The 22288-nt window shown below is 41.5% G+C and overlaps 1 protein-coding gene across 2 annotated transcripts in view, besides 2 other annotated features; it reads right to left on the reverse strand.

Moving 5' to 3' along the window:
• MRPS31 (mitochondrial ribosomal protein S31) overlaps positions 1–13150 on the reverse strand; it is a 42063-nt gene extending 28913 nt beyond the window's left edge. For both annotated transcript variants that reach the window (XR_007063654.1, NM_005830.4), the window contains exons 1-3: positions 12945–13150; positions 8706–8993; positions 908–1066 (exon numbers count right to left, since the gene is read on the reverse strand). Coding sequence is in view for 1 of the 2 variants with exons in the window: in NM_005830.4 (NP_005821.2) it covers positions 908–1066; positions 8706–8993; positions 12945–13096 (599 nt within the window). In the remaining variant the exon portion in view is untranslated. The remainder of the gene's footprint in view (positions 1–907; positions 1067–8705; positions 8994–12944) is intronic.
• Positions 13039–13208: an enhancer, noted in NCBI's record as "active region_7614". NCBI's record gives its function as "activates an Ori minimal core promoter by ATAC-STARR-seq in GM12878 lymphoblastoid cells {active_cell/tissue: GM12878}" and the evidence as "EXISTENCE:reporter gene assay evidence [ECO:0000049][PMID:35858748]".
• Positions 19207–19256: an enhancer, noted in NCBI's record as "active region_7615". NCBI's record gives its function as "activates an Ori minimal core promoter by ATAC-STARR-seq in GM12878 lymphoblastoid cells {active_cell/tissue: GM12878}" and the evidence as "EXISTENCE:reporter gene assay evidence [ECO:0000049][PMID:35858748]".

The following is a 22288-nucleotide window of genomic DNA, read 5'->3' on the forward strand; positions in this document are numbered from 1 at the left end:
GCTGAGGCAGGAGAATGGCGTGAACCGGGGAGGCGGAGCCTGCAGTGAGCCGAGATCGCGCCACTGCACTCCAACCTGGGCGACAGAGCGAGACTCCGTCTCAAAAAAAAAAAAAAAAAAGTGATCCTCCTGCCTCAGCATCCAAAGTAGCTAGACTTCAGGCACACGCCACCATGCTCAGCTACTTTTTTTATGTTTTGTAGAGATGGGGTCTTGCTTTTCTGCCCAGGCTGGTCTCAAATTCCTGGCCTCAAGTGTTCCTCTTGTCTTAGCCTCCCAAAGTGCTGGGATCATGGGCATGAGCCAGCACACATGGCCATTTCTTTTAATTTCTTGAAATAAATCTGGTATACACGTTCATTGAGAACAACTGATTTAGATCACTCTCCAAAATGAGGCAGTGTTACTGCTTACTATACTTACTACTTAATATAACATAGGCAGCAAGTAGTATAACATGGTATAAAATAATGAGAGATGAAGAGAGTAAGTGGAATGATGTCAGATGAAATACAGAAGAGGAAAAAGAGAAGGCAACAGACCTGAAGATTATCATCCTGTGCATAAAACCAGCAAGGTATTTAACTGAAAAAAATTACTTTTCTCAGAGAAGCTACTTTATTCTGTTATTTATTTTTAATAACATTATTGAATTTACCATTTATTTTTTCATGGACAAGAAACTGTAACTTCCTAAAAGGAAACTTTATTCAATTGTTTTTTTAAAAACTATAATCATACTTAAGACATAAGTTTTTTAAAAAGTTGAATTGCTAAAATTATGTGGTATATTTTATATACAAATTCCACTTACGTGGTATATATTATGTGTATTACTCACTAGCCATATGAAAATGGCCCATTTTGAGATATAAACATTACTGACTTAAGGGTTTGATTCACTCACCTAATTTTAGGTCGCTTTGCATCTCTCTGTGCCCTTGACTCTTCCTCATGCTGCTGGAGCTGGCTCAGCAGCTCTGACTTGGTTGTTTGCTTATCAAAAGGGAGAGAATCTGCCACAGCAGATGCAGCTGCCACCAACTCAGGACTCAGGGGCTCAATTCTGAAAAAGAAAATGAAAAACAAATGAGAAAGAAAAAAAAAGAGAGATTGGCCAGGTGCGGTGGCTCATGCCTGTAATTCCAGCACTTTGGGAAGCCGAGGCAGACAGATCACTTGAGTCAGGAGTTCGAGACCAGCCTGGCCAACATGGTGAAACCCCATTTCTACTAAAAATACAAAAATTAGTTGGGCGTGGTGGCGCACGCCTGTAAGTGCCGGCTACTCGGGAGGCTGAGGCAAGAGAATTGCTTAAAGCCAGGAGGTGGAGGCTGCAGTGAACCAAGATCACGCCACTGCACTCTAGCCTGGGAGACAGAGCGAGACTCTGTCTCAAAAAAACCAAACCAAAACAAACAAAAAAAACAAAAAACAAAAAAGAGAGATTGCTTATTACACCATTAGTTTAGTGAAAAGTGAAATGATTTTTGGAGAAAACTTTGGTGTTCAAAAAAGTATTCAATTCAATTTCTGACAAAGGCAAGAATTCTCAACTATTAGGTACCGGTTTTATATAAACTTTGAAATGTTAAATGTTAAAATTAATGGATATTTGCTGAAGCACAACACTAACTCAGAACAATATATTAAGGTGGAGGGGTGAGGGACAGATCAGCCTCAAAAATTATAAATTAGTGGAATTTTTAATTAGATGTTATTGTATTTCAGAAACAATATATATTGTAAGCAAATATAAAGGCAGGTTAACCAGTTCGCAGAAACTTTACTGGAACCAACCTAAAAGTCTATCATCAGAACAGAAAAACAAATTGTGATATATCCATACAATGGAAGAGTACTCAGCTCATGACAACATGAATGACTTTCACAGGCATTAGATCAAGTGAAAGAAGTTGGACACAAAGAATATAAAATATAAAAATTAGCCAGGCATGGCAGCACATGCTTGTAAAATCCTAGCTACTCTGGAGGCTGAGACATGAGAATCGTTTGAACCTGGGAGGTGGAGGTTGCAGTGAGCCAGGATTGCGCCACTGCACTCCAGCCTGGGTGTCAGAACTAGACTCTGTCAAAAAAAAAAAAAAAAAAAAAACTGTATGATTCCATTTATATCAAGTTCCAGAACAGGGAACACTAATCTGAGGTGAAAAAAAAATCAAAACAGCAATTGCCTCAGGACTGATGGCTACTGACTGGGAAGGTAAAAATGAAAAATGTAGTGTTTTGCTAAGTGTGTGGGTCACAGGGACTTACCTGTTTCTCAAAATCCTACAGCTAAGATTTGTATACTTTAATACATGTAAATTTTACCTGAAAAAAAGAGCCATAAATCATCATCAAGTAGGAGATGGAAAGTGGGTGAAGGCATAGGACATACAAGAATGGCAAAATGTTGATCACTGTTGAAGCTGGGCAACAGTAGAAAGGCGTTATACCATTTTGTGTTCTTTGCATATGTTTTAAATTTTTCATAAGAAAAAGCTTTTAAAAGCTTCCTAAATTAGAGCAAGTTAATAGAAAAACATTCTATTATAAAAAGAAAATAAACTATTTACAACATTTTTTCCTTTTTTTTTTTTTTTTTAAGAGACAGGGGTCTCAATATGTCGTCAAGTCTGGCTTCAAAGTCCTGGGTTCAAGCAATCCTCCCATTTCATCCTCCTGAGTAGCTGTGACTATAGCCAACTGCCACCATGCTTGGCTATTTGCAACATTTTTTAACTCACTGAGAACTGACATCTCAATGAGTGGGATCCAAATTAATGTTTTACTATACCTGGCTTTCTATATTATGATACGTTACCTAATACGAAAGTTAAACTTCCCAAATTCCTGAAGTTCTTGGAGAAAGATTTTAAGGACTTAACTAAGTTATGAAAGATCTAAAATCTGATAGGAATAGAAGAAAAAGAGAAGAATTAAACAAGGGGTCGGGCACGGTGGCTCATTCCTGTATAATTCCAGCACTTTGGGAGGCTGAGGCGGGAGGATCGCTTGAGCCCAGGAGTTTGAGACCAGCCTGGGATAGAGAAAAAAAGAAAAGAAAAAAAAAAATTAGCCAGGTGTGGTGGCATGTGCCTATAGTCCCAGCTACTGGTGAGGCTGAGTGGGAGGATCACTTGAGCACAGGAGGTAGAGGCTGCAGTGAGCCATGATTTTTCCACTGCACTACAGCCTGAGGCACAGAGTGAGAGTCTGTCTCCAAAAAAAAAAAGAAAAGAAAAATAGAGAAATATAAGTTAAAATAAAATGTGCTTTTAAAACTTATCTGTGAATAAAGCTTTAACCTTGTTCCAAAGTCATTGTATTTCTTTCATAAACTACTTGTGAACTTCATTTTCAAATTTTAATATATTTGATCAAAGTATACACAGAACATAGATGAATATTCATTTTCTAGAATCATACATTTCATAACAATGGTTTCCTATGTAGTTATACTCTCTGGCTTTATAATTTGAAATGTTCTAATTAATAAAAAATTGTGGGGGAGCCTCTGTCATTGAATAATTTTTACATACAGGGATCTTTCTTCATATATTTTAACAATGTAAGGAGAACTTGTTAAAGTATCTTTTAACAATCTATTCTATCCTGTAATTAAAACCATTTCATTAATACAAACTTTTCCCCTTCATAACATTCTGTACTTTTTAAATTTCTTTAAAATAAACTGTATGACATACAATTTCAGAAAAGAATTCTGATGAGGGAAAGAAACTGAGTGGATACTTAAATTGGCACCGCTTTTGGCAGGCAACTTGGTGCCATATATCAAAGGCAAAAAATATATATATGCACATCTCTTGACCTAGCAATTCCACTTCTAAGAATATGTGTTTAAAGAAAATAAACAGAAAAAAAAAAAAAAGAAAGAAAGAAAGAAAAAATAAACAGCTGGGCATGGTGGCTCACGCCTGTTATCCCAGCACTTTGGGAGGCCAAGGTGGGCAGATTACTTGAGTCCAGGAGTTCATGACCAGCCTGGACAACATAGTGAAACATCGTCTCTACAAAAAGAAAAAAAAAAAACTAGCCAGATGTGATGGTGCATGTCTGTAGTCCTAGCTACTCGGGAGGCTGCGGTGGGAGGATTGCTTGAGCCCAGAGGTAGAGGCGATTGTGCCACTGCACTCAAGCCTGGGGAATAGAGCAAGACTCTGTATCAAAAAATGAAAGAAAAGAAACAAATTTGTGGAATTTGAAGGATACTGCATACTCCAACCTCAAGGCCTAAGCAGTTCTATCCTCTATGCCTGAAAAGGAATTCATCTTTCAGATATCTACATGGCTTTATCCCTAATTTGATTCTAATCTTTGCTCAAATGTTACCTTATCAGAGTTCTTCCCTAATTATTCTTAAAAATAGCACCTCTCCAGCCCCCTCATTCTTTTTTTTTTTTTTCCCACCCAGGCTGGAGTACAGTGACACAACCACAGCTCACTGCAGCCTCAACCTCCTCAGCTCAAGTAATCCTCCTGCCTCAGCTTCCTGAGTAGCTGGGACTACAGGTGCATGCCATCACACCCAGCTATTTTTTTTTCATTTTTTGTAGAGACTGGGTCTCACTATGTTGGCAGGGCTGGTCTTAAACTCCTAGACTCAAGCAATCCTCCTGCCTCAGCCTCCCAAAGTGCTGGGATTACAGGCTGTGCCTGGCCCAACTCCATCACTCTTATTTTTCTTCATGTTTCACCACCTGACATAGTATAGACATTGTGTGTGTGTGTGTGTGTGTGTGTGTGTGTGTGTGTGTGTGTGTGTGTGTGTGTGTGTTGTACATATATCTCCTCTCCTACATCCCTCCCCCCATTTTAATGTAGGAAGCAGAGACTTTGTTTTGTTCAATGTCCAATCTCTAGCACTTTGGATGGTGTGTGAAATATAATGGCAAGGGAAAGTTGCTGAATGAATAAACAAACATAGCATCATTTCATACTAGTGAAACACCAGAGATAATCTAAATTTCCAGCAGGGATCAATTAAGTGAGTAATAGTTAGCTGATGCCTTCCAAATGAATCAGGTTAAGAGGAAGTTAAAGCAGATGCTAGAAATTTTGGTTACTGCTGCATCACCAGGGATATTCTTAGGTTCCACTAAACATTCAGACCCAAAGGACCACTACAGGTGACACCTGGCCCAGTCCATTCGGGAAGATGAAAGACAGAACCACAGCAGGCTGGCAGGGCAGCCTTGGGTCTCCTTCTCAGTGGGAGTTATTGTAGTGTTCATGCAGGTGACACTTCACACAGTCAATCATCTTAGAGTAAGGATATGAGATCTGCAAGCTGCCTGGCTTACTGCCCCACAGCAGCCAGTATCTCTTGTAACAGGGCCACATGCAGTTTCCAGGGTCCCTGCAAAAGACGTGCAGTAAGAAGAATCACTGCATTTAAGTCCTAAATATGGTATCCCCATCAGGTACCCGTAGTTCTCCCAGGCCAGATGCAATCTATGAATTAGGGGTCAATTTTGTCATGACAATGTTGCCTATAGTATAGCTGAAATTCTACAGTTATCAGGTACCAGATGTACCTGATAAGCAGATTATACTTTCAGAAAATAGTGACAGCATTACTTCTGGTTCCACATGCTCTTCCAACACATTGCCATATATCCATCAAAAGGGAGATCTATCTTCCCTCCCTGAAAACCAGGGGAAACTTTGTGACTGCCTTGATGAACAGAACAAGATAGAGGTAACACACTGCAACTTCTGAGGCTAGATCAAATAATGTGATACAGCTTTCACTTCCATCTCTCAAGACATTTGTCTGCGGAACCCAGCTACCAGGCAAGAAACCCAGGCCACATGGAAAGGCCATGGGTAAGTGTACTGGCCAAGAGCCCTAGCTAAAGCCTCAGCCAACAGCCAGTATCAACTACTGGAAAAGGGCCCTCAGACGATTCCAGATCCCAGCCCGGAATCTAGCTTAGCTAAAGATGAGTAGAGAAGACACAAGCTCTCCACCTGGGACCCTGGCTCCCAAACTGTGTCCTAAGGTACTCTGGGGCAGCACAGGAAAATACAACCATGTCAATAATGATGTAAATTAGGCAGTTCACAGTAACATTACAGCAGTCCCTTCATATCTGCAGGGGTTGGGGGGAGGTGGGGCCGTGGGATACAGGCATTGTTTCCAGGAACAGCTCTGGCCCCCACCAGGATGGATGCACAAGCCCCTTACATAAAATGGCAGAGTACCTGCATATAAGTAATGCACATCCTCCGAATACTTTTAAATTATCTCTAGATTACTTATAATACCTAATTATGTAAGTAGTTATATTGTATTTTTTTTTAATATTTTCAATCAGAAATTGGTTGAATCTGTGGATACAGAACCTGCACATACAGAGGACCAACTGTATATTGCTCCATTCCTATCAATGACATTATATCTTTGTCAAGATTGTTTCTCAGGAGTGGTTGTGATAAAAACAAATATCCCAGGAAAATCAATGTGGAACAAGGGTAAACACGGTAATGTCCAATCTTATTACAAGGCTAGGTCATTAAAAAGAAAATACAACTTTCTCTTGGCTCACTTTCTCTTGAGACACCCGCCCTGGAACCCAGCCACCATGCAGGGATAAAGCCCAGCCCACAAAGAAAGCCACATGTAGGTGTTTCTGCTAATAAGGTCTCAGCTGACAGCCAGCAGCAACTGCCAGACCTATGAGTGAGCAAACTTCAGACAATTCCAGCCTCAGACTTCTAAGTCTTCCAACTGAGGCCCCAGACATCACAGAGCACAGATTGGCCTTCCCCCACTGTGTTCTAGTCAAATCGCTAACCCACAGAATCTGTGAGCATAATGAATGAATGTTTTATGCCACTAAGTTTGGGAGGTAGTGTAGCCATGGTAACCATATCAATGAAGGTTCAATATTTAATACAAACAAAGAAAAGCAGTCTATGTATGAAGCAATGATGACAGTGTCTCATGAAGCAAAGATCATGACTAACCTAATCCCGTGCACCTTGGAGTCCTTGAAAAAGAGGGAGGGGAGGAAAAAATCATTAAAAGACACCTTTTTAAAACTCAAAACAAATGTACCTCATTCACCAGTCTTTTGATGTGGGACCAAAGCCTCTTCTTTGAACATAGGACCACTAATAGAGGTTCTAAGACACATCTTTTATATACATCACACCCATCCTCCAGTATTTTCAATTTCAGTTTAAGTGGAAAAGTGGAGCAAGAATGTAAGAAAGCTTACAAAGCAATCTAAGTGTATGATCTTCCCACACATGTATGTTTGCCTCACTCATACCTAATTGGAAAGAAAAATTTTAAATGACCTTTACTGACTCTTTCCAAAGCATTCAACTCACTTTACCATTTCTGTAATCGTTAATTCAATTATAATTATAATAAAGAGCATGATGGATCATAAACAGGTCTAGGAGCTTTAAAAATGCCATTCTTGAAAAGTATTTATATATGTTTGTATTATTTATTTCCATATACTTATATATAACCATTTTGTTTCTAAAAGCAGGAGGAGGAGGAGGAAGTACCTATTATGGGTACTGATAGTCTGAATTAGCTTACTCTACTACCCAATCATACTTTCTAGAGGTATTTTTGATATAACGTAGAAACCAAGAAGTTCCATTAAAATGTTAAATCAGTTTGGGAAACAGAAGACTATTAAAATCTGTTTGTTCTGGTAACAGAAGTCAGTGATGAGTATCCTAAAGCCACATAGCTTACTACTTGAATTAATGACATCATTGAAATACATCATTACATAGCACTAAAAAAAATACTGCCATTTAACCTACCACACAATGCCAAGTATCACTGATTGCATTTAGAATTAAATATAATACTCTTTTGACAAACACAAATAATTTTAATACTCTGAGGAAACTACCAAGAAAGCTGAAAGCACTGATAGGTATTGATCAAGGGAAGTCATATAAAGCAATTGTAATCAACATGCTAAAACTTTATTCCAGAAATCTTTAAAATGGAAAATTTTAAATAAGCAAGTCCTTTACAGACATTAAGCTACCTTCAAATCAAGATGTAAATGATATTGTTAATTAACAGCTTAAAGAGGCAATTACATGGCAGTTAATAACACTGATAAATATGTAAGTGTGTGAAATTCTCAATGAGATCATTTCTCCTTTCCTTTCTCTGGATTGTGTACAGATATCCTCTTGTTATTTAAATATAATACAATAACAGCATTTCTCAAGTAATTATTATTTTGTTGTTGTTGTTGTTTGAGACAGAGTCTCGCTTGATCCCCCAGGCTGGAGTGCAGTGGCACAATTCTTGGCTCACTGCAACCTCTGCCTCCTGGGTTCAAACAGTCCTCCTGCCTCAGCCTCCCAAGTTGCTGGGATTACAAGCACGCACCACCATGCCCAGCTGACTTTTGTAGTTTTAGTAGAGACGGGGTTTCACCATGTTGGCCAGGCTGGTCTCCAAACTCCTGACCTCAAGTGATCCGCCCGCCTCGTCCTCCCAAAGTGCTGGGATTACAGGTGTGAGCCACCATGCCCAGCCTCGAGTAATTATTAGAGTCCCTGTGTTTACAAGCTGATATTTATTCTTCATTAATTCAACATTTCCCAAGTACTTGTATTAAAAATATTTTTTACCAAAACAAAAAGCTTACTGGAGTTTCAAACAACATCTGAATTACAATTAAATTTACCTCTTCTTTGGAGCATATTCTGTAGCTCTTCGAAGCCTGCCAAGTGTAGCTTCCAAACTTTTAAGTGGTCTTCTTTTGGGGGGCTTTGTTGTTCGTACATTTACTGTGCTTAATTCAACTTTCATGCCCTTAATAATGCCTAACAAGTCTTTTTTCGTATTTTCCTTTTCACTGTCTTGGCTCTCTGAAGTCTCCTTGGAAGTCTCCTCAGTTCGAACAGACTGCTTATCTTTCTTGCTACAGATCACACTGTTAGTGCCAAAATATCTTTGGATGTTATTTTTTGTCCTGGAAAGATGCATTAAAGAAAAAAATGAAAAATACAATGCAGTCTACAATAAAGTAAAAAACTTACTTACAATAAAGTAAAAAACTATGTATCTAAGATTTTTTTTCAATTCAAGCCCTTTCCGTTGCTTTTTTTTTTTTGAGACGGAGTTTCGCTCTTGTTGCCCAGGCTGGAGTGCAATGGCGCGATCTTGGCTCACCGCAAACCCCGCCTCCAGGGTTCAAGCAATTCTCCTGCCTCAACCTCCCGAGCAGCTAGGATTGTAGGCATGTGCCACCATGCCCAGCTAATTTTGTATTTTTAGCAAAGATGGGGTTTCCCCATGTTGGCCAGGCTGGTCTCTTTTTATAATTATTGTTAACAACCATAACAGCAGCAACTTACCATTTATTAGCATATACTACATGTCTCATCTTGTGAAATATACTTTATTTACATTTCTCATACCCACATTAACTCCCTAAGGTCTCTATTTTGCAGATAAGGAAACTGAAAATCAGAGAAGTCCCAAAGTCATGTAGCTCACAGCTCACTAAGAACTAAAACACACTGTGTGCCACAAATAAGTAGAGGTGTGCTGAGATATTGATCACTTGGTCCTTGGGGTGGCCAGGGGAGGTCTGGGGGTGCTGGTGCTCCCAAGTCTGTTCCCTCCCTCCATTTACCCCAGGGTTGGGTAGAAAAACACTGACATGGTTAATAAATGACAATTTATTATTCTCAAACCCAAATGTGACTGACTGCAAGTCCTTGCTCTTAACACAATACCTCTTTAAAAGTTATCATTAAACAATACAAAAATAAATTTCTATCAATAAAAAAGATTATTTCAAAAAAACTTTCTGAGTGGGTGTTATCTAATCTGATCAACATTGTCATCGAGCTACATGCTACTTAACCCATAACCATTTGTAAGGAAAGCTAGAATGGAACAGAAAAGAGAATAATCAATGGCTAGAAATGTCATTTGTGCTTTCTTCACTAGATACATTTATGAAAAAGAACAACACAAATGATTACATCTATATTAGACTCATGCAAAAAGATTTCCTAATTCTAAGTAATCCAAATATCCAATTTTATTCTGTGGGGTTAAAAATTTGTTTTGGTATTTGACTACTGAAGAATTTTCAAAACTCTGAATGTGTTAGTTTCAGTAAGAGGGTATATTAAAAAATTATTTGCTAAATATAGTGAATATCTACTCTGTGGTGGGCACTATACTAGGTACTGACAATATATTAGTAAATAAGAATTTCATGGTCCCTGCCTTTATGAAGCTGACGTGCTACAGCACTGCTTCTCAAACTTTAAGCTTAGCCCCCACCCCCCAACTAGGAGGGCACTGACCTCCAACAGGCATCACCCCGCTAAATCCCCTGGAAGTCTTTAATATGCATAAAAATTTTTTTTTTTTGAGACAGGGCCTCACTCTGTCAGACAGGCTGGAGTGCAGTGGTGTGATCTCAGCTCACTGCAGCCTTGACCTCCCTGAGCTCAGGTGATCCTCCCACCTCAGCCTCCTAACTGGGACTAATTTTTTGTAGAGACAGGGTTTCGCCATGTTGCCCAGGCTTGAATTCCTAGGCTCAAGCGATCTGCCCGCCTCCCAAAGTGCTGGGATTACAGGTGTGAGCCACCACACCTGGCCCACAGAAATTATCTATGCTCCTTGCTAAAACATACTTTGGTCCCACCAAAGAATTCTGATTCAACAGCTTTGTCCAGGAGACACTTGAGAATTTGCATTTCTAACAAACTCCCAGGTGACGCTAACGCTGCTGGTCAGAGGACCACGTTACAGTAGCTATGTATGTTACTTAATCCTTACACTTTAACAGAACAGGTTTCATTATTCTCACTTTACAGTACAAACTGTTGCCCACAGAAGTTAAAGTAGTGGTTATGAATCTCTACAGGTTATACAAATCACATAGGGAGCTGACTTAAAACACAATTCTTAGTTTGGAATTTAACATTTTAACTAAACCCCAGGTGATTCCCATGCAGGTGAGCTCAAGAGCCTGTATCAGACCCTGGGTTAAATATTGTATCAAGTTCAGCTGGGCATGGTGGTGCACGCCTGTAATTCCAGCAGTTTGGGAGGCGGAGGTGGGCGGATCATGAGGTCAGGAGTTCAAGACCAGCCTGGCCAATATGGTGAAATCCAGTCTCTACTAAAAATACAAAAATTAGCCAGGTGTGGTGGTGGGTGCCTGTAGTCCCAGCTACTTGGGAGGCTGAGGCAGAAGAATCGCTTGAACCCAGGGAGCAGAGGTTGCAGTGAGCCGAGATCACACACTGCACTCCAGCCTAAGCGACAGAGCAAGACTCTGTCCATATATATATATATATATATATATATATATATATATATATATATATATTATCAAGTTCTCAAAGCCAGAAAATGGCAGCCGCAGGTTAAGGATACTTACATGAAAGAGAAAATGGCAATTTCAAAAAATGCTGAAACTATTTGATCTGCTTATGAAAACGTCAGAGGCTATCAAATCAGGCACTTAAAAATTAGAATAAAAAACCAACTGCATAACTAGTATCCTCATAATCAGTACACAGGACTCTCATTATAATATTCAATATATGGTACAATCTATTTAAGAAAATGGTCATTATTTTACATTTAAAGTTACTATTCAAGGTATTTTAATAGAAAAGTGGTAATCAGGGGAATGAATCTCACATGTAATCTTTACTACAATGTTTTCTTTCAAGACTGCTATCATACCACAGAAAACAATCTACATTATAGGAAAATCACGTCTAAGTAACTCCCTAGCACTAAAAATAATAAACCTCTCGACCTAACCTCCCACCTGAGTTTGTTTCCACTGACAGCAGCTCATCAGTACTTCAAATGCAACACCTTCAACACCACATTCAAGACTCCTCTTTCAGACTGACTTTCCATTTTTCACACTTTCTATATTAAAAGGCCCCCTAACATAAACAGGTATTTGTTGTTTTCTAAAAATTATAATATATGGAAAAATCTTTCTCAAGCCTGGCTCCGCATTCTTCTGTTAACATTAAGGATACCCTAATACTCCAACGCAGCCAGTTGAAATTTTTGCTATCTCTGACTACCCTACCATTATCCCATGACGTCACATCCCTTTAATTCTACCTGTGCAATTTTTCTCCTCCATTCAGCTGGTCCTTCCCATCTTCACTGCTACTAACCTGCTTCAGCACTGTACTTAACCAAACTGCCTTCTGAGTGTTACGCATGGAATTTATGCAGCGGAATTAGGTTTTCATAATAAAGTTCTCGGAGGATAAATACCAAAACCAAGTATGCCACAATTCCCTTTTTTCCTGGCTAACTTCAACCAGTGGTCCTCCTTCAGATTTCGTCAGACTTTTCCAGAAACGATATCCTGAGTCTCCCCTATAATGGTTAGGTGTCCCTATTTGCTATCCCAGCAAGTACTCATTCATGTTGGCTGAATAGTGTACTCTGTTTACCTACACTATCTCAGCTATTACTTCACTACATAGCACTTGAATTGTCTACTTTCTGGAACTACACGCTCCGTGATGGCAGGACTGTCTCACTTGGGGTTTACAACCAGTACTGGCACGCTGTTTTTCGAGTTTTTCAGTAATGAACTAAAGAATAAATGAAGGAAAACAAATGAGACTATCAAATAAATCTTGGGAGGCAAAAGATAAAAACCTGGGTAAACTGACAGGAGATGATGACAAGAGGAATGAGGCGCGGCGTGTAGTAGAGCACAGCGACCAGGTTTGTAATCGTAGCTCTGTTTTCACGCACACTATGACCTTGGGCAAGTCATCTTTTCTTTCTGGGATTTCTCTTTCCTCAGATTTAAAGCAATAGCTTCTAAGACCCAGCAGGTGGTAACATCGACCCCAGGAAGTCGGAGGATGTACAGGACGGGGCACGGGGTTGCCTGAGGACCTACCGGGCCAACAGCGCTGAACTGCGGTACCTGACTGTTCCGTGCCGAACAGTGAGTAGCATAATCGCAGCCGCTGATGTCTCCGGGCTTCCAGAGGACAAAGGGTGGCGGGAAAGGGGGCGAAGAGGTAGGAACGTCGAGACTCTAGGAAACATCGCCGAGACACGAAATGAACCAAGAACACAACTGAAATGGTGCGTCCCGCTGCCAAACACGTCCCCGCCCTCTCTTCCGCTTCCGGCCTGGCGCCTTCCTCCCCCTTTGCGCTCCGGTGGGCTACAGGGGCGGGTAACTGTGTTCCGGACTCGCCCGCGGCCGGGCGGAGCCAGTTGCCTCCAAGCGACCCGACCCACCCCGCGATTGTAGTCCTAGAGGCGGAGTCCTCGCCAGAGTTCAGCAAAGGTTCGCTGGCCGAGGCGGGTCCCAGACCGGCGAACCCGACAGTGGAGGGCGTGACCAGTTGTGCAAAAACTACAGATGGTGCCAGTGAGATCAGTCTCTTCTTTAACAGACAATATTTTGCGATGTTTGGAGGGGAAGGGTCTACAGCGTTCACCACGTTCTCAAAATGCGCCATGGCCACCAAAGAGGTTTAAAAAAAATTACTAAAAGACCTGCTGCCCTATGAATTAGCGTTTCCTTTCAGTCTTTATTTTTGATGTAGAGTCAAAATGAGACATAGGTTTCATTTTTCAAAAATAGCTTTATGGCCGGGCACGGTGGCTCACGCCTGTAATCCCAGCACTTTGGGAGGCCGAGGCGGGTGGGTCACTTGAGGTCACGGGTGCGAGACCAGCCTGGCCAACATGGTGAAACCCCATCTCTACTAAAAAAAAAAAAAAAAAAAAAAAATACAAACACACACACACACACACACACACAATTAGCCGGCCGTGGTGGCGGGCGCCTGTAATCCCAGCTACTGGGGAGGCTGAGGCAGGAGAAGCGCTTGAACTCGGGAGGTGGGGGCTGCAGTGAGCCGAGATCGCGCCATTGCACTCCAGCTTGGGCTACAGGGCGAGATTCTTTGTCTCAAAAAAACAAAAAAGAAAAGAAAAAAAGATTTACGCCGGGGGCACAGTGGCTCATACCTGTAATCCCAGTACTTACGGAAGCCGAGGCGGGCAGATCACTTGAGGCCAGGGGTGAAGACCAGCCTGGTCAACATAGTGAAACCCTGACTCTACTAAAAATGCAAAAATTAACCTGGCGTGGTGGCGAGTGCCTATAATCCCAGCTACTCGGGAGGCTGAGGCAGGAGAATAGCTTGAACCCGGGAGGCGGAAGCTGCAGTGAGCCAAGATTGTGCCACTGCACTCCAGCCTGGGCAACAGAGTGAGACCCCGTCTCAAAAAAAAAAAAGGATGAAAAGATGCAAGAGAGAGACTTGGCTTTTACCTGTCCCTCATGAAACAGGGAACTGTGACCCCAGAAGAGATGTGGGGTTCCCAAACTTGGAAGGGGATGAGAATAAATCTGGTGGGAAATGTTGGCTAATAGGACACATGGGAACCACTAGCCTAAAATTCCATAAAGGCATTCCAAAGTTTACATCAACATTTTCCCTGTCCTCTCAAAAAATAATCAAGGTGGGGAGGTGAGTTTTTGTGATACTAAAACACAGCTTACATTGAGCAGATCTTCCTGAGATCCACTAACACTAACAGAACCTTTGTGACTGAATGCTCTACACAGTACACTTGGGGATGCTTACTTTGTCTGATTTGTAAAAAAACAAACAAAAATTAAAGCATAACTTTGTCAAAAAACAAAATTATGGCAAATTTAGCATAATTGGTTTTTATTTGTGATTCTAGAATAGTGTTCCAGTGAGTTGAGCAGAGGGGTTTGGCTTTACAAGCACAAAAGAGTTGAAGAAAATAGAAACAGGGAACAAAAATCAGATTGGTCATTTCAAAGTTACCTTCCTTATAGGGTTAAAACAGAGGGATTCCTTGTCATGCTGGCTCAGGTAAACTAGGGCCCCTCTGATTGGTGCTGTGAATCTCCTGCTTTTGGAAAACTGGCCCTGATTTCAAAGTTCAGTTTGATTACTTGGCACTTAGCACAAGTGACTATTCTGGTTTGCTCTGGTGTGCTGGGGGCTAGTACAGGAAGCTTGTCCAAAACTACGGCCTCCTATAAACTTTAGCAACTTCAATACAGAAAAGTGTATGAATTATAAATATGTTGATGAAAATGTATCTTTGTTATTGTTGAGATGGAGTCTTGCTCTGTCACCGAGGCTGGAGTGCAGTGGTGCTATCTCAGCTCACTGCAACCTCCACCTCCCAGGTTCAAGCAATCCTCCTGCCCTAGCCTCCCGAGTAGCTGGGAGTACAGGCGTGCACCACCACCCCCAGCTAATTTTGGCATTTTTAGCAGAGACAGATTTCACTATGTTGGCCAGGCTAGTCTCGAACTCTTGATTTCAGGTGATCTTCCCATCTTGGCCTCCCAAAGTGCTGGGATTACAAGCATTAGCCACCGTGCCTGACCAAAAATGTGTTTAAGGAATGATCACAGAGTTAATTCACCCATATAAACCTCCACCTGGATCAAGAAATAGAATATTAGCAGTACAGCATACTTTCCTTGATATCACTTGATACCCAGTGGAAAATCCATTCTTGAGTATAATAAGCAGTCCATGTGGATCACATTTAATAGTTACCTCATCTTTTTTCGATTTCTTATAATATCCTTCAAATGGGTTTTTTAAAACCCTAAAATCTCTTAACAAAGAAGATGAAAACTTCCATCTCAATTTCAGTTTCTCTGGGGGAAGACCTTGTCCCAGCTACCCTGTTCTTAATCTACTCTAAGGTAGTGCAGACACAGTAAATTACCTCCCTGCTCCGTAAGGGTAGATAGGCCGTGACTATGTGAAAGTGCCTGGCTGAGGGTCACAAGCCAGAATTGAAATTTAGTCTTCTCTACCATTTGGTTCCTTCCACTATCACTTTCTTACAATAGAGGCTTTCTTTGACCACCGTGGTTAATGTAGTCTCCTGCCCCATCCAGTCGCACTCTGGCACGGATTGCTGTTGTCCACCTATAGCCATTCTCTTCTTCTGGAATTTTAGCTGAACTCATGACACTGTCTCTACCAAAAAATAAAAAAATTAGCTGGGCATGGTGCCCCTGTGGTCTCAGCTACTTGGGAGGCTGAAGTGGGAGGATTGCTTGAGCCCAGAAGGTGGAGGCTACAGTGAGCAGTGATTGAGCCACTGCACTCCAGCCTAGATGACAGGGCAAAACCCTCTCTCTAAATAAATAAATAAATTTGACTTAAAAAAAAAGAGAATTAATAGGATAGTTCTACTTGGCCATAAATTAAATCATGAAGAGAATTTCAATAAATTCCCCCCAAACTTCAAAAGTCTGTCCTTTGAAAAACTAATATGACTTGTGTAATTTTTTTTCCAGAGCAATCATTTATGAGAGTGACAAAAAGAAAGCCGAAAGTAGAAAATTTTTTCCTCCTCTAACTTTCTATTATGGTATTTGATTCACCAGTCATTTTCTTCCCAGGGACCCCTGGAAATGCACTTTTTAGAAACAAGGCAAGAAATAGAAAATCAACTGAAATTGCTCCTGATATAGAGTGGTGACTTTGTCCTAGCTATCTCATAAAATTCTATACGAATTAACTCAACAAGCCTTACAAGAAAATGAAGAAACAAAATCACCCTATATTCCAGTTATCCATTGCTGCACAACAAACCATCCTAACGCTTAGTATCTTAAAACAACAATTTGTTATCTATCCTGGTTCTGTGGTGGACGGGGCAGCTCAGCTGGGTGGTCCCTACTTTGATCCCTCATGTGGTTGCCATCAGATAAGACTGAATGTCCGGGATGGTTTCTTCACCCACACATCTGATACCTCAGCTGGAATAGCTGGAAGAAACAGGGGCTGGCTGGGCCTCTCTCCACACAGTGCCCGGCCTAAAGCAGGCTAACTCTTACAAAGTTGCAAAATCACAGCGAAGATATTGAAGTAGCAGGTTAGTTAATGGTACAAGCAATTTCACTTCATCGCAATGAACTTCTTTCCCATAATATTTAATGTATCCCAGATTCATTTCTAAGCTTAATTACTATACTAATTCTTAGAAACACTTTAAAGCTAGTAAATAATACGTCTTGGAAAGATCTAAGTGAGTAAATAATACATCTAGAAAGATTCAGAACAATTTAAACTATTCTACCAATCTGCATAAACTAGCCACTAGTTCATGCTAGTGGGTCACAAAAGGGTAAAAACAATGAGCCCCTTCTCCCAAGTGGCAGGATGGCAGAACACGAATGTCATAGCACAAGTGAGGTTTACAGGCTCTGTGGCTACTTTGCTTGTGCAGTAAGATGTATCATATTCTGCTGTTTGTTTTATGCCATTTTCCATCATACTTAGTCTATGCACTTGATAGGCAATCAAATGTAATTGATTCTATTAATTGCTTTTCAGTCACTAGAATTGCCCATATATGTAACTTCATTTCCCAATGAATATGTCTATAAATCTGTATATTTTATGTCCAAAGTAATCCTTTTCCCTAAAATCAACTCTGAATTAACTTTCAATGCCTCTGTGTAAAAATGCATGTAAGACTTTTTCCAATAAAATCAGGAGGCAGCATAAACATGCCCAATATGGTAATGAGAATAATAATACCACTAACTGCCATCGTTGCATACTAAACCATTTACATTCTTATCTCATTTAATTTTCTCATTGACATCAGAATTATCCAACAAGATCAGTCCGATGTCACAGCAGATGTATGAAACCCTGTAGCAAGGAGTCCAGGAATGGTCAATATTTGAAAATCCAACTAGCCAGGTCAGCAATGGCCCCAGTCTTCTGAGGTTTGCTCTTTGTGAAATAAGCCTGCAGAATAAACCCAGTTGTCCAGCAGTTTCAGCTACCTACTTCAATTTACTTGTGGCTCCACTAGCAAAAGTATTAACGGATTATGAACATCTTTCCAAAGGCGGTGTACTAGCTGAAGTCACAAAAAGAAGGAGAAAATGAGGCTGGATGGGCTCACTGGGGACGTAACTCATCATGAGGCTTCCTGATTTGGGTGATGGATGATGTGTGTGGTACTACACTGGATGTGGTATTTCCCATCTTTTTTCCTAGGTGGATTAAGAGCTTTTTTGTCTCTGCATCTTCCAAGTTGAGACTTTTTTTCTTTCTTTCTGGAACACACATATATATACATATCTCCAGCTGGTCTATCTTAAAAACCAGATCGAACTACAGTATCAAACACAGCCTAAAACAACATTTTAAGAGGCTGAGGCAAGTGGATTGCTTGAGCCCAGGAGTTAGAGACCAGCTGGGCAACATGGGGAAACCCCATCTCCACGAAACATACCAAAAAAAGTTAGCTGGGTATGGTGGCGTGCACTTGCAGTCGTAACTACTTGGGAGGCTGAGGTGGGAGGATTGCTTGCACCCAGGAGGCGGAGGCTGCAGTGAGTTGTGATCATATCACTGCACTCGGGCCTGGGTGACAGAGCAAGATCCTGTCTCGAAAAAAAAAAAAAAGCAATAGATGAACATGCATGCATGTTTATATAATATATAGATAGATGATATTAGTGTAAATGTATAACATTGTGTGAAAAATGTAGCTTTAGTCCCCTTGGAATACACAGATGAGTATGACTTGCTCCCTGCTTCAAGGGGCTGCTGATCCAGCAGGGATCACAGATGTGGAGCAGGTAATAGAACAAGATATGTAATGCAACAGGTGCCTGGGCTGTGGGGGCCCAGAGAGGTTGCACCCAGATGGATGAGTCTCCTAGAGCCCATTACCTCCTTCACAAGGTCTTTAGTGCCCAAAACCGAAGGACAAAGTAAGGGGGAGGGGCACGGAGAGGCCCGCAGCAGCAGAACTTACGGGAGATGGGACGGAAGAGGAAGTGGTTGCGTGCCCTTCAAATTAGATTGTCTAGATACTTGTCTTTCCCCTCTACGTAAGATGACTCATTCTTAGTATATTCATGTTTAAAGTTGCTTTGGATTTTAAGTGCATGGAAGACCAGGATCATGTCACACTAATGTGTATGGCACAGCATATGACATAGAACTATGCTGAAACTGTGCTTAGCACATAATTTTTGGAGATGACAGAGATATGACCAGGCAGAACTGTCCTCAGGTCAATTTCTAAAGTACATCAAAGTACTCTGGTTCCCCCCGCCCATCCTCTTGACTTCTTGTACTCATTCTCTCCTGTCCCTTGGCCTGTCTCTATGTTGCCTTTTAGCTTCTCAGAGCCTCCTTGCTTTGGGTCTCACCCAGGCCTGACACCCTTGCCAAGACCTCTCTATATTAGCCTTTCGTCCCCTCTCCTACCTGCCAAACTTCTCTGTCATCTGTCCACCAGGGGGAGGGCTATATTATTCAACTAACACTAATGTACGAAAACCCACATTGCTAGCTTATTGTACTAACTATCTCAAGAAAATTTAATTTTTAAAAGAGGTGCTTGCAAATTTCAATAAGCAAAGGCTTCGTCTGAGATTATTTTCTTTTTGCATTCCTGGCCCTCTCAAGTTATGCCTTCGGGAAACTGCTTCTCTAAGGGCTAACCCAAGCTGGCCCTTAGATGTATTTGTTATGTTCAAGTGCCCTCTGGAGGCAAAAACAGTCTCCTATTAGATAAAAGACAGGTCTGCCAAACACCCACAAATGATTGGTCCCTGTGCTGTGGGGTCCATTCATTCCTTTCCATCTTTCTTTGTGCAGGTCTAGCACAGCCCTGCCTCCGGGCCTTCAGCTTAGGCACGGAATCTTCTTTGGCCTGGAATAGCCATTCTAAAGACTGTCCCACGATTGGTTCCTTCACATCATCCACTTTAGCTCAGCAGGGCTTTCTCAGGAGTGCACCACATCTAGCCAAGCCAACCTTCCCACTCTGTCATGTCATGCTGTTTCCTTGTCTTCCTGCATGCAGCACTATCTGAAATAATCTTCCATTCATTCAACACATTCCTTGAGTGCCTGATCATATGCCCTGTCTTATGCAGTTGAGATAGATCAAGGTACAAATACAACACGTTCTCTATCCTAGTGGAATTTACAGGCCTTGTGAATTACATGGTTTCCTTTTTCATCATCAGCCTCCCGGCTAGAATGTAAGCTCTGGGAGAGCAGGGACCTCTGTCAGCCTTGTTCACTACTTTATCCCAAGAGCCTAGAACTGTGACTGGTACATCCTTCATGGTCAATCAATATTTGTGGAATGAATAAACAAATGTTTATATTAGCCAGGCACAATGGCTGTAGCAAGAGGATACCTTGATGCCAGGAGTTCAACACCAGCCTGAGCAACATAGCAAGACTCCCATCTCTAAAAAAAATTGATTTTTAAGTTTATATTTTCTATCAGGATACACAACTAACATTTTAAACTTCTTTTGCCGTGACAAAGTTAATTCATTCCATTATCACAACTATAAAAAATGAGGCAAATTATATACATCATTATTATTCAAATGATCAGTAACAACAATAGTTAGCATTTGTTGACCACTTACTAAGTACTAGAGGCTATAAGTGCTTTATATGTATTGTCTCATCTTCACAAATTTTTCTGAGGCAAGTAACACCATTCTCCCTTTTTTTTTTTTTTTTTTTTAAGACGGAGTCTGACTCTTTTGCCCAGGTTGGAGGGCAGTGGCACAATCTCGGCTCACTGCAACCTCGACCTCCTGGGTTCAAGCGATTCTTCTGCCTCAGCCTCCAGAGTAGCTGGTACTATAGGTGTGCGCCACCACACCCGGCTAATTTTTTTTTGTATTTTTAGTAGAGACGGGGGTTTCACCATATTGGCCAGGCTGGTCTCGTACTCCTGACCTCAAGAGATCCACCTGCCTCAGCCTCCCAAAGTGCTGGGATTACAGGTGTGAGCCATTGCATCCGGCCCATTCTTCTCTTTTTAAGATGAGAAATTTGAGGCTTACAGGAGCTTCTTACCATCGCAAAGTCATCAGGTGGGAGAGCCAGCTTTTGGGGACTGGTCAGTCGACCCAGAGTCCATGCTGTCAACCTCCACCACACAGCCACGTTCACATCATGATGTCTGCATCACTCAGCAGCTCCCTCTACCATCTTCTAAAGAAACTCTACACTCTCTTAGCAGGGCCTGTGAGACCCCACGAGATCAGCCCCACCTCCTTTGCTAGTCTCCTTCCTGTTACTTCTCCTCCTACCCTGACCAGAGCCCCTGTAGCTCCCGGACACGGGACATGGTCATGGCTTCCCCACCTCCTTGCAATCTTATGGTGTGTTCCCTCCTTCTGCCCTGCCTAACTCCTCCTCCTGCTTCAAGGCTCAGCTCTTGCCCCCTCCAGACCCTTTCCTGGTGCTCTGGGTGCCCATGCACTGCTGCTCCCAGCTCCTTGTGCCTGGCTCTGTGATTCTTAGTGAATGGAATGAGGTGTGGCTTTTCATCTCCAAATTTCCAGTGCTTAATTGGAACAGAGAGGTTGGCAAAATACTTTGAATGATGGTGCATTTGGGAGTTGGCCATGTTTTACAACTTTAGGCACAGTGACGAAAAGAATACTATTGTAAATAAGAGGGTTAGGGCTGGGCACAGTGGCTCATACCTGTAATCTCAGCACTTTGGGAGGCTGAGATGGGAGGATCATTTGAGGCCAGGAGTTCGAGACCGGCCTGGTCAACAAAATGAGGACCCCCCCCCCTTCTCTACAAACAAACACACCAACAAAATAATTTAAAAATTGGCCAGGTGTGGTGGCACATGCCTATAGTTTCAGCTACTTAGGAGGCTGAGGCAGGAGGATCATTTGAACCTGAGAGCTCGAGGCTGCAGTGAGCTATGATCAAGCCACTGCACTCCAGCCTGGGCAAGAGAGCGAGACCTTGTCTCTAGAAATAAATTAATTAATAAAATAAAATAAGAAGGTTAGAATGTGGCCCATGGAAGTCCTCAAAGGTGCAATCACATGAAGCTGAGAAGCAGCGGCATGGAGCAGGGAGTACTTAGAGCGTCACCTGGCAGAACCTGATCTTTCCTCTTATTCCCACCCCAAGAGACTTTTCTGACTCATCCAGCTGGAAGCAGAGAGGCTAGGATTTTCCCTTCAGGTGTCTGACCCAGAGCCTTCATGCTAAGTCCTAAGGTGGTGTCTCAACTGTGCTGGGCCTTTATTTGTGTGTCCTTTCAATGGTTGTATCTGCCTACGTTTGACCAGAATAATTAATTTAATGAAAGCACTTTAAAAATGTTTATAAACAGCTAAGTATCTAGTGATGGGTGCCATATAAATATTTAGATACAAAGGGTCTAAATTCAGATTAT

Source organism: Homo sapiens, chromosome 13 (assembly GCF_000001405.40).
Source record: "Homo sapiens chromosome 13, GRCh38.p14 Primary Assembly".
NCBI classification, from domain to species: Eukaryota; Metazoa; Chordata; class Mammalia; order Primates; family Hominidae; genus Homo; species Homo sapiens.